The sequence below is a fragment of the Homo sapiens genome, chromosome 4 (genome assembly GCF_000001405.40).
Source record: "Homo sapiens chromosome 4, GRCh38.p14 Primary Assembly".
Taxonomy (NCBI): Eukaryota; Metazoa; Chordata; class Mammalia; order Primates; family Hominidae; genus Homo; species Homo sapiens.
The window spans coordinates 108908437-108921381 of record NC_000004.12 but is presented as its reverse complement, the minus strand read 5'-3'; the positions used below and the strand labels follow the sequence as shown (position 1 = coordinate 108921381).

The 12945-nt window shown below is 35.9% G+C and overlaps 1 protein-coding gene across 11 annotated transcripts in view; it reads left to right on the top strand.

The window, feature by feature from the left end:
- COL25A1 (collagen type XXV alpha 1 chain) overlaps window positions 1–12945 on the top strand; it is a 493934-nt gene that overhangs the window by 381277 nt on the left and 99712 nt on the right. For all 11 annotated transcript variants that reach the window (NR_045756.3, XM_011532335.3, XM_011532334.3 and 8 more), the window contains 2 exons: window positions 778–804; window positions 3166–3210. Coding sequence is in view for 10 of the 11 variants with exons in the window: in XM_011532335.3 (XP_011530637.1) it covers window positions 778–804; window positions 3166–3210 (72 nt within the window). In the remaining variant the exon portion in view is untranslated. The remainder of the gene's footprint in view (window positions 1–777; window positions 805–3165; window positions 3211–12945) is intronic.

Sequence of the window (12945 nt, the reverse complement as noted above, 5' to 3'; positions counted from 1 at the left end):
AGTTATTTTCCACTGTCTCAAAGCCATGCCTTGCTCTAAATAAAGCCAAGAGAATCCCAACACTGACTTTGTGGTTGAAAAACTGCTAAATCTCAAAATTGCTGCATTTCCATGCTGTATAAATATTCTCATTCATCTCACTAAATCTCCTCCACCCAGTATCTTAGTCTAAGAAACAATTGACAGCATCTTTTGTTCCCTTTTCTAGTATATACTCGGTATCACAGTTGACACTGGCCTCCCCTAGTTTGTAAACAAGTTTTTGTGCAGGTTAGTTGACCATATTTCCTAAGAGGAAGAACAGAAAAAAAAAGTCATGTTTCTTTGTAATGCTATTCAATTATTTCCTTTGCAAATCTGCTTACTGAAGATTTGCAGGTGCAGAAGTCATCTAATGTGTCCATTTGCTGAGAAACTACATTGCATTTTAACTGCTTCTAGGGACTATATCTTCAGCCTTCTAAATGAGATTGATGTGACACATTTATAGGTATTTTTTAAAAAAACAATATGTGCTGGAACAGCAAAGATTATTTTTTAATAGAGAGGAGAAATCAGAATCCTGCTGCATATGCTTAATGTTTTTCAAAAGAAAATTAGAAGAAAAGATCCACTTGGAACTTCAAACTGAAATTTTTCTTTTTTTTTCCTGATATATGAAATGTCAACATATTTCAGTACAGCAAAGAGAATCTTAGAGAATAGGACAGTTTAAATTGGTCATCTAAGCTTAAATGGCTACAATAGTATGTTAATTGAATCGTTTTTCTTTTTTAGGGTCCTCTAGGGCCTCCGGGACAAAAGGTAGAGTATAAACAACAATATTGTGAAAGTAATTATGCTCTCATGACCTAATGGCAAGCAGGAGAGGTGAATGAAATTAGCTACTGTAAGCCATGCTGAAGCAGTTAGTCTGGTTTGTGTATTCTGCTTTCTAAAAATATAGTCACATAATGTGAGCATTAGATTTCTAATTTACTCCATTATAAAAAATTCAATAAATCCAAGAGCAGACTCTTTTTAAGTTGTCTGCTGAACTTGTACATTATTGAATTTTAATTCAAATACTGGTAAAACATGACAAAATTTAAAATGTGAAAGATAATTTGATATTGCAAAATGAATGCATGGCCTTCCTCAATTATATGATTGCCAAACGGCCAGAGAACTGAGCCCAAAAAAAGGATATTGCTGGGTTCACTATATTCAAGTAGCCTACTGGTGTCCTTCTTTGCTGAGGTAACCTGAACAGTGACTTCCTGATTGTCATTTCATTGTTATCCGCAATCATCAGAATTGACGATTAAATTCTGCTGGAGAGGCCAGGCACAGTGGCTCATGCCTGTAATCCCAGCACTTTGAGAGGCTGAGGCTGTTGGATCACCTGAGGTCAAGAGTTAGAGACCAGCCTGACCAACATGGTGAAACCCCATCTCTACTAAAAATACAAAAATAGCTGGGTGTGGTGGCACACGCCTGTAGTCCCAGCTACTCAAGAGGCTGAGACAGGAGAATCGCTTGAACCTGGGAGGCAGAGGCTGCAGTGAGCCAAGACTGTGCCACTGCACTCCAGCCTGGGTGAGACAGAGCAAAACTTGGTCTCAAAAAAAAAATTTTTTTTTTCAAATTCTGATGGAGAAGATCTAGGGTTTCCAAAATTACACCTATCCTATAGCAGTAAATATATTAATAGCAAATAGATGGCATTTTGCCAACAAAATATCACTAAGTCCTCATTCCCCCATCCTTACACCCCTCAAGCCGGGAGGGGGATATTTAACCCACGGAAAACTAAAGAAAACAATTGTATTATAACAGGTGGAAAAGTGATTATTCTTTATCTTTGGAATCCATCAAAGATAGAGACTTTTTATCCCCCAAGCACTGGGCATGTGGCATCTGTTGAAACATAATCCTACAAACCAAGTAAAAGCCCATGGGTTGCAGGACAACTTGTGCATAGGAACATTTTGTCCTTTGCAATAATGTCTCTATTAAGCATGGTGTGAAATTGTAAAGCTACTCTAATCCACATACGACCAGGATAAAATTACTGCTTCAGGCTTCGGGAAGTCCTTTAATGACCCATTCAATATAATCACTGAATGCACTAAGGAACTTGCCATCTCAATTTGTTTTGATTATAATTACTGTTTTTTTAGTAGACTATTTTTTAGGGGAGTTTTTGGTCTATAATTACAGACCATTTTTTTAGGGGAGTTTTGGTCTATAATTACAGATTTTAAAAAATCTTTTCCCCATTATTATTAAAGAAATGTAATATCAGAAAAATCTGTTTTCTAGTTTTAGACAAAGAATAAGCACATTGTATTTAAAATGGTTTCTCCAGAGCCTAAATGGAAGGTGTAATGGAGGGAAATGACATCACTGTTTGAAAATATTTGCTAATGTTTCTATATCCCGTTAAATGTCATAGATTTTCTCAGGTAATAATTAGCTTTCTTATTCTCCAGCTCACCCATCTATGTCCAATCATTCATACTCATGCCACTATGCATGTGCACACACACGCCCACACGTGCTTACACACACACCTTAACTTTTTTTGCACAGAAGTTGTGTTGTTCCTGGTCAGTGTATAACATTTTTTGCAACTTTTTGAGTCACTCTGGAAGACATATTCACATTCATGTGGCTTAAACTTACTCCTTGAAAGTCTTGGAGGAAAATGCTTAAAATAAAACAAATTTGAGTTTGCGACATGGGCCCCTTATTTAACTGCGGAACAAATGGTTGTTATTTTAATTACCTTTTGTTTCATTGTATTTTAACTCATGAAATGCAAGTGTTACTGCTACTGGTAGGCTTTTTCCAGATGGAACTAAGCCTATTTATTCTTAAAAACATGAAAATTTAGAGCCATGTGGCCCTCTGATAGGTATGACCAATTTATCATGTAAATTTCTTTAAAACATATTAAAGTTAAGTGGATACTTAGAAGCAAGGTTTAATTTTAACTCTGTAGTTTCTGGGGAAGCTTGAGGAATCTGCTTACATTATATATTTGAACACAGTGGATAAGGTCTGAAAAATAAGACTTCCTAGAAATGTTTTAGCAAGGCTTACATAACTAATACAATATAAATTTAGAATTGAAATATTTTGTGTATGATATCAACTGAATTTAATCATGTGTCTCTTTAGGGTTCTATTGGAGCACCTGGAATTCCAGGGATGAATGGGCAAAAGGTGAGTTCTATAGAATATTGTATTTTAAAAATAATTTGGTGAGCATTGAAATCACAAAATTATTCTAGTCCATAATGTTAGTAATAAGCTTATATGCTTATAAAAACACTATGTTTTGAAATACAGGAAAATTGTGCTACAAATTACCAAATTAGTTTAATTTTTAAAGATGCATTAAATAGTCAGGAATTCTTTGAAGATTTTCCATTTCAAGTATTTTGGATGTGTTGCTTTTCAATAAATTATGTATGTGATACAACTATATCCTTCCCATAAATAGATATGGAATTGGGAAAATTTATGTTTAACATTGATAGTGATAAACAAAATGCACTTTAGTTTATTCTGGTCATGGTAAAACTAATATGTATTAATAATTGGCTAACAAAAGTTATTCTCATAGAAGGAACTAGTCAAACTTTCTGAATCCAGAAGGTAGCTCTTTTCACTGTTAATCAAAAGTAGAAGTTAAATAGATTTGTCCCGCTTTGGTATTACATACACTTTTATTGTACTGTTAATAATGAGAGGAAAAAGTAAAGTGAAAGAAACAACACAGTCTACATACACATATCTATGTGTTGTGTACATTTACTCCTGCAACATACTTACTAGTTGAACAAAGCATAGCTCCTCAACATCCCTGACCGGCCCTTTAGTCTGGAACCTTCACAGAAACCAGGAAAGCCACTGTGGCAGCTGACAAAGCCCATTGCTGAGCCGGTTTGTCAGGAGCCAGGAAGCTGAGCGAGGGACTTTCCTGTCTTCCCCAGAGTTCTTGGCCTGGCCCTTTTATACTCTGCGACCCATTATCTTGCCTTCCCAGAGTATTTTAAATCCATGCACCCTGGACCAAATTCTGAAATCATACGTAACTCAACCCTTTCAGGTGCAATAAATACTCCTTGTGTCCTTTTCCATTGAGTCCATCTTTTCTTTCTATCAATAAGACATAAACAACCACAATTTTAAACCTAGTAAGTTGCTAAGAGCATGAGTCTTCCACTCAGAGGCTGTGTGAATTTTGGCAAAGTCCTTGGAATTCTCTGGCCTCAGTTTCTCATCTGTAAAGGGAGACAATGGCAGTGCCTACCTAATAGAGTCAATGAGAGTTAAGGGAGTAAATAGATGTAAAGCCCTTAGACAGTATTTGATATTACCATTAAACTTTTCCTTCACTTCAGTTAAGTGAAATTCCAAAAATTCAGTTAATCTATGTTTTTAAGAGGCTCTGTGTTCCCAGAAGTACTCAATTACCCCATGAAATTAATGTTCTCAGCCAAAGCTTATGGTGTCCTTTAGTCCATAAACCAAACACCGCACACTCGCCAGCAGTTAACCGCCCATGTCGCAGCTACATTTTCCACTTAGTAAAATGCATATCCATTTGCTTCACAAATCCTGGCAAAGACAGAATATTTAGAATATTCTGTTTAGAATATTGCAGATCATGGAGGGAAACCTAAGCAAAAATTTAAAAGTGTATTCATTCTCAGATGGATTTGAAAATTATATAACTCAAGATAACATTTAGAAAGAACAAAATACAGATATGGCATAAATGTTGTTTTTGACATTGGTGAGAAACAAAACTTGTATGCCTAAGATTAATAATGTTTTCCTTTTTCGTCTTTGTTTCTTTTCATTTTTCAGCTTTGACACAATCATGAAAATTTATAGAAACTTTTAACATGAAACAAAACAACTTTAAAACTGTCACATACACTCTTTCAAAGACTGCATATTCTTTATTTTTGCAAAGGAAATATGCAATTTCCTTAGCAAGAGAAAGGAATGTGACATTTTCTTGTCCTAGTCACCAAGTTTAAATTATATTTCAAGGAAATAGTTAATATTTGCAGTTTTATGTCTCGTTATACATCTTTGTGGCATTTTAGAAGTGTTTTCTGTAAAACCCAGGGAAACGAAATGATTTCACACTTTTATGAAGGTATCAGCAAAATGTAATTTAAATTTGTTTTCCCTCCTTCAGAGAATTGAACCTAAAGCTTTGTGTATGGAACTTCTGTTAGGTCTAGTAATTACTTAACATTTGTAATATTTGCTATATCATTTTTAGGAAAAGAAAGTGTAAAAAACACGAGTCTCCTTCACTGAAACAGCAGGTCACTTAGAGAGTAAAAACAAAGTTGGCAATAGAGTAATAATTTTACATACTTAGAGCACATGAAATGAACTCTAGAATTTGTTTTTAAACAAATTTCTTGAACTCTAGACTTTGTTTTTCTGGAATCTTGAACTCTAGAATTTGTTTTTCTAAGAAAGGAGCTTACAATGACATAATAATTTTGTTTTAGTAAGAGCACCTCAATATCCTTAAACTGTCTTGAGAAAACATTTTCTTCTCCATTACAATTTTGCTTTTTCCAAAAGATTACTTTTGATGCTTAGAAAAGTTTTCAGACAGTGGTTAGGGGAGGATATAATTTCTAAGCCATCAGAAATATGGCAAATAATATCCAGCTACTTGGGGTGGGGGCGCTCAGGCAGAAGGATTGCTTGAGTCCAGCTTGGGCACCATAGTGAGATCCTATCCTATCTCTTAAAAAGAAAAAAGTAAGAAATATGGCAAATAAAAACTAGGGAATAAAAAATTATTTTCTTATGTTTGAAAAAAAGAAAGAAAAGTATACTATTTTAAGAAAACACTGGCCAGGAAAGGTGGCCCATGCCAATAATCCCAGCATTTTTAGAGGCTAAGGCAGGAGGATTGCCTAAGCTCAGGAGCTTGAGACCAACCTGGGCAACATGGTGAAACCCTGTCTCTATTTATAAAAAAGAAAGGGAGAGAGAGAGAAAGAGAAAAAGAAGACAAAAATGCTTTGTTTCCCATAGAACATTGTCCATCCATTCAGGTTGGCAAAATAGGTGATGGCCTTAGCACATAAACTTGGTGTGACGTTTTTCCTACACATTATCTTTTACATTTTGATCACCTTGATTGCTAATCTGAATACTTATTTTTGTAATGGTCTTTCAGTTCTTCTGACTGTATTAGGAGAAAGGACTGCTTATGCAGTGGCATGGCATTAGACTCCAATCTTGCCCCTTCTGGCATCACAACCTATGAAGGGCTACAGAACATCCCTTTGTGAAAAGTAGGAGGTAGTGTGGTACAGAGAAAAGGGCGTGGTCTCTGCATCTGAGAGAGAATGCTATGTGTCCTCATTTGGGCCAATCACTTAACTTTCTAAGGTTCCAGTGTACAATATAGAGACAGACCTTGTAGTATTAATTAGACAATATATCTAAAGTGAATATTATGTAATAGATGCCCAATAAATGCTGTCAAGTGTCTCTAGTAGTATTCTCATGCCTTAAGAATTTCAGCAGGCTGGGCGCAGTGGCTCATGCTTGTAATCCCAACGCTTTGGGAGGCCAAGGTGGGAGGATCACTTAAGCCCAGTTCAAGGTTACAGTGAGCCGTGATCATGCCACTGCACTCCAGCGTGGGCAACATAGTGAGACCCTGTCTCAAAAAAAAAAAAAAAAAAAAAAGTTTCAGCAAATGAACCTTAGACTTACATTCAAGCAGGGAGGAAAAGCCAGGTGAATTCCTCATAGAAAGAAAATGAATATGCAGAAATACACATAGAGGTAGAATGTGTTCTCTATCCCCTGGCTGTCTCCCTGACCCTAAGGACTAAGGTCCCCAGCTCTTAAAGACTGGGTAGTTGGAATGTCACTGCTATAGATACAAGAAAGAGAAACACATGTTTCACATTATTATGAAAGCACAGTCACCAGTGGGCTGATGTAGGAGCCCTGTCCTGGCATCAGAACACTCTGTGCTCTTTCACCTCTTGTGTAGCCTTTGAAGGATCCCTTTTTTCTCTGCATTCAAAGGGACTTCATTTGTAAAATGAGAGCAGAAGCTGTACCAATTTATCTCTAAGTTTCTCAGAGATACTATGAGTACACAAAAAGTCCCCCATCCCCCATGTCTTGTTTCCATGCAACCAGCTTTTAGCATCCTCTGTTCCCAATTCTGAAAGCTGATGTTTTCATAATTTGGACTTGTTTCCACCAACCAAGCAGTTAGGGCAGATCTAAAGCAAATCCTACCTAAAAATATAAAATGTTATCTATTTCTTCTTTGGCTAATTATATTGAACACAAAAATAATGTAATTCTCCTGAAGATCTTGTTGGTTTAAACATATAATTAACATTTTATTTGCCCTCCATAATTTATTCTTTCCCCCACCATGCGCGTGTGCATGAGTGCATGCACGCAAACGCACACTCACACATACATGAAGTGATGTATATTTGAATATTGGTCAATTAGTTCCTACTTCAAATACTCTGGAGAAATGTGAGCTATTTAAAATAATTTTATAGTAGAACCATGTTTATAGTGAATAATTTTTTGGCAAAATAGATTGCTGTCTACAATTTTTGTTTATATACTTAGATGTTGGTTTTTAAAAATCTGAACTGTTAAAAGGTGTTATTAAAACTCTGCATTTTTCTACTTTTTCCTGATTTTCATCTTTCTTAGCATCCATAAGAACAAATAATCACTATGACAATTTATTTGAATAGCAGTTAGTGCCCAACACTGTGCAAATGCCATGAAAGAGGAGCTGGAGGTCGGGTGCGGTGTCTCACGCCTATAATCCCAACAGTTTGGGAGGCCGAGGTGGGTGGATCACCTGAGGTCGGGAGTTCGAGACCAGCCTGACCAACATGGGGAAACCCCGTCTGTACTAAAAATACAAAATCAGCGGGGCATGGTGGTGCATGCCTGTAATCCCAGCTACTTGGGATGCTGAGGTAGGAGAACCCTGGAGGCGGAGGTTGCAAGTGAGCCAAGATCATGCCATTTCACTCCAGCCTGGGCAACAAGAGCAAAACTCCGTCTTAAAAAAAAAAAAAAAAAAAAAAGGAGCTAGAGACAGAGACCACACAAAGTCCCATTTTTTGCTCCTCTTAATTCACATCCTTGTCTCTTGATTACTATAAAAATAATGTTGAATATTTTCAGGATTAAAATGAAATTTTTTTTGTCTATGCAAGCTAGAATTTTTCTGAGGCCTGCAGAGTCATAGGGATTGTTTCCAAAAAAAAAGATAAATATCAGATGATCTTGATTCGTGCAATTTTAAGTGCTTTCTAGAGTTTATTGTTATTTTTAAAACTTCAAATATAACATAAATTTAAAAATTGATATTAGTGTGTCAACTATGAATCCATCACAAATAGCTAAGTGATTTTTAAGTAACATTAAATTTTAATTAGTTTATAGTTATGACATTTGAAATTCCTTTTTATCTCTTATACATGGATAACACAGTTCTTCACTGACATTAATCTTCACAGCATATTTTTAATGGCATTTTTATTGTAAGTATATTTAGAGAATAGATAAATTGAAGCTCTCAGACTTTCAAAGCTTAAGCCATTGAGTCAAGTCTATGCAGTGAATGATACAATAAATCCAATATTTTTTATCCCCCATTCACTTACTATAAACACTAAACACAGTTTTTTTGTTATTTATTTATATATTTACTGCCACCTACATTCCTGAAAGTTTTCAACATGTTGTAGGGCTGTTTTTGTTTTCTAGTTAATTAGCTTAAAATTTTCCTTTAGCAGAATTTACCCAGTAATTTATTATGCAGTATGTTTATGACTTTCTAATGCTAAACTTTAAGAAAAGATATTGAGACTAAATTAAGTGATTGATTGATGATTCCAGATTAGTTAGTAGTTCAAGGAAAGTATCTTACAACCATTCAATCTTTTTTGTGTTAAAAGTGAGAATTATATTTTTTAATTTTTCAGTTTTTTAACATTAATAATTGTATAGATTAGAATTCCAAGAGTACGTGACCATTTTCCTCTAGTAACTATAATAAGAGGATGAATGCTTTTCTTCTAAAAGAAGCACCATCATTTCCTATTACAGATATTTCATAAAGTCAAATAACTTCATCCATTCCTGGGAATGATTTATACATTCTCAGCCATTTTTATACACAAGGCTACTCTACTCTTAAAGACATTTTTCACTCAATTTTACTTGTTAAGCAGAACACAAGATATTTCTTTTCTTCATGTAATTATTTTTGGGTTTCTTTAGGGGGAAACAAAAAGTTAGTTGAAGGAAGTTTTTTCCTGCTGGCTTGAAATAAAATAAGTAAGATTTTCTTTAAAACCACTTTCTCCCGACTTTATTTAGGCATGTTACTATAAAGTTTGATACCAGTTATTATTGTAGCGAATGAAAATATTGGGAGAAGGAAGAATAAACAGTTGAACGATTGGGATTGCTGAGAGAATAGGGGTAGCTGAGGAAGTAAAGCTCCTCACTTGCTGTTGCAAAAAAAAAAAAAAAAAACAGCGAAGCAAATGTTTATTAATGAATTATGGCATCATGAAATCCACTATTTTCTATTTTAATGTAAAACACACTGCATTTTATAGAAGAAATCACAAAAATACTGACATATTACATCTGATTAAATTGTATCCATAATTGGGAAAAGCTTTTTAAAGAAATTTCCCTTAAATGTACTCATTGATTAACGTATTAATTTCCTCAGTCATTCATTGAACAAATATTTATTTAGCCCTCACTAAGTGTGAGGCACCAACTGAACACTGAGTTTACAGCTGTCTCTGCCTCATGGAATTTCTAGGCTAATGGGTAGTAGGGGGATTAAATGAACAATTATATGAAGATTAAATGAACAATTATATGAAAAATCTATAGAGTATTGCGAAGTATTATAACAGAAAAGCACAGGGCTCCCTGGCCTGGTACAAAGGGCTGAGTAAGAGCACTTCCCTGAATCGGAGACTTTCAGTGAGGTTCCCAGTGTAAACAGGAGTTGGCAAAAGAAGAGAAGCTATCACCATGTTGCAATGCTTACAATTTATACTACAGATAGCCTTGGTCTTAGAATTCTGTTCCTAAAACACTATATTATTGATATCATTGATCACTATAGGGTTTTGTATTCATCATGGACAGCTTTTCCTTAAAATTTCTGACCAGTAAGATATTAAATCAATATAAACCACACACCCTGTTTTTGTATCATTAGGTCTCTTGATTTTGAGATTTGTATTAAAAATAAGGCTGCAATGTAATAATTTATTGTCAAAACCATAACGGGTGAAATCTACCCCGTTCCATTTATTTGACACCAGGCCACATTGCCAAGGGGTAGCCATGATCCAACTGTGAGACAGCATCAGTGGGATTAGTTTATGAGAAACTGAATTCCTTTCAGGTTTCTCTTCTCTGTCTTCTCTGCCTAGTGCAGAGAATAGAAGCAGTATATCATAATTACTAAAATGTATCCAGTGTTTATTAACTGCTGGGCAGCATCCTAAATGTTATAGGCATCTTAGCTCATTCAGTCCTTATAGCAATTCTATGAAATAGGCACTATGATTATCTCCATTTTCTTAATGAGGAAACTGAGGTGCAGAAAGAGTAAAAGAAGCCCAAGGTCACCCAGGTGTTAGTGACAGAGTAGAGCTTAAAAGCCAGGCAGTATGCTTCCACTGCATAGTAGTGGTCGAGAGTGTGGATTTTTAAATTCAGAAAACCCTAGCTTTGCCGCTCAGTGTTTGTATGACCTTGGACAAATTGCTTACCTTCTCTGAGCCTTAGTTTCCTCATTTTTCAAATAGGGATTATAATGTTTACCTCTAAGTTTAATCAGAAAAGATAAAGAAAGTAATACATATAACTGTCTGTTAAAAGACTGTTAAATAAGGGTAGATTGTTTTCCTCTTTGAATTGGAGGCATTAATACCTCAATGATTCAGAAACCTCTTAGGTGTCCAAGTGAGTATCAGTAAGAAGTATTATCTCATTCTCTTCATTGACCTTTAGAATTTTTCCACGTGGACATAAACATTTAAAATTTCTATTAATAATTAAACACATTCTCTTTCCAAGAGAAAGAATAATTTATCATTCAAACTATACACAGTTTCTTTAAGAACTATACTTTAGGAAATATGGAATTAGCTGGGTTTTAAGACTTTAAAAATGGATATATTTTCAAGGACACATTATGTTACAAGTCATGGAAACTTAAGGGAACCAGGTGAAAAAATAAAGGTATTTCCTTAAGTCAGCTTCCAGGGTTAGTAATGGGCCCTCCCCAGATATGTATTCAGAAAGAGTGGACCATACTGCTGGCACGTGCACCGCTAAGCCCCTGGGTGGCCGTGCAGCACTGTTGACGAGGAGCTATGAGCAGGGCTTGGAGGCTGTGGTGTTCACATGTAATCCCCAAGGCACCTCCTAGAGAGAACTAGGGCTGGAGAGACAAAGAGGATGGGAAGAGAAAGGAGGAAATTATCAGGCAGGGAGTGGAATGGGGGAGTATCTGTGTGACCGTGCATACTCCTGCTTAGACCTTCAGATTTTGTGAGTTTCCTCAAGGCAAATAATTCCTCTCATTTATGTAAATTTCACCCGAATAAAGTCAATTTAGCTATCTTTCGTGATCTCCCCACAAACTTCTAACTATCTCTCTGCATTACATTTCCTTTGTTCAAATTGTGTTGTAGATATTTCTGTCTACATGAACAATATGAAAATCTAAGATTAAAAGTGTTAACTAGCAGACTTATTTCTGAAACACCTCATACTATTATATTATTGATACAACTAACATGTTTTCTTATTTATCATTTTTAGACATGTGTAATTTTTTAAAAAGCATAAGGAAGGTTTGGTCACCAGGTTAAATTTAGTTATTAAACAGTTTAAGACCCATTTCAGCAAATTACCTAAAAGAGGGTATTTGTATTAAGTTCCTGGCTGATATACTTGTCTACTTTTCTACTATTTAGTATTCACATTACCAATGTGGACAAAGAGATTGAAACTGCCTTTGCAAAATTATAACTAAGGAAATTATGACAGTGAAAGATACCAGACTCAACCAACTCCATCTTGCTTTTAACCTCTAAACTGTCCTTGTCCATTCCTGGGCGTAGGTTGAACTAGTCTTGGATTTTAGTTATAGTTTAAATAATAACCCTTCCCAAAAGCTAAACTGTTCTTGTAAAATGAATGAAAGGCCACCAGCCACCAAGTACGGATGAGAGGGGCTGGAATACTAAATGTTACCAGCCGTTATTCCGGAGGTCATAAGATTTGCAACTTACATCACTATTGTGAACCTAAGATTGGCCTTTTGAGATGTCTTTTCAGGTTTTTGCATGTCTAACCGGATGGCCCCACCTCGACCTGCCAACCAGTTCTGTGGCCCTCACCCAGGAACTGACTTAGCATAAGAGAACATCTTCCACTCCCTATGATATCATCTCTGAACCAACCAATCAGTACTTCCAATTCACTGGCCCCCTACCCACCAAATTATCCTTAAAAACTCTGATCTCCAAGTTTTTGGGGAGACTGATTTGAGTAATAATAAAACTCTGGTCTCCTGCACAGCCGCCTCTGTGTGAATTACTCTTTCTCCATTGCAATTCCCTTGTCTTGATAAATTGGCTCTGTCTGGGCAGCGGGCAAGATGAGCCCATTGGGTGGTTATGCGGTTCTAATTTTAGGGAGGGAGTTTGCTGTTTAGATAACGCAGTAGGGATGCCAGTTCTCTGATGCATAAGCAAACCTAATAGTCCAGGCTAGGGGTTTTCTCTTTTTACTTTTGCGTGTTACACAGCTTCCTCTGCTTCCCGGAATGATAAAGAAAAAGAATCAGGGATTGGGGAT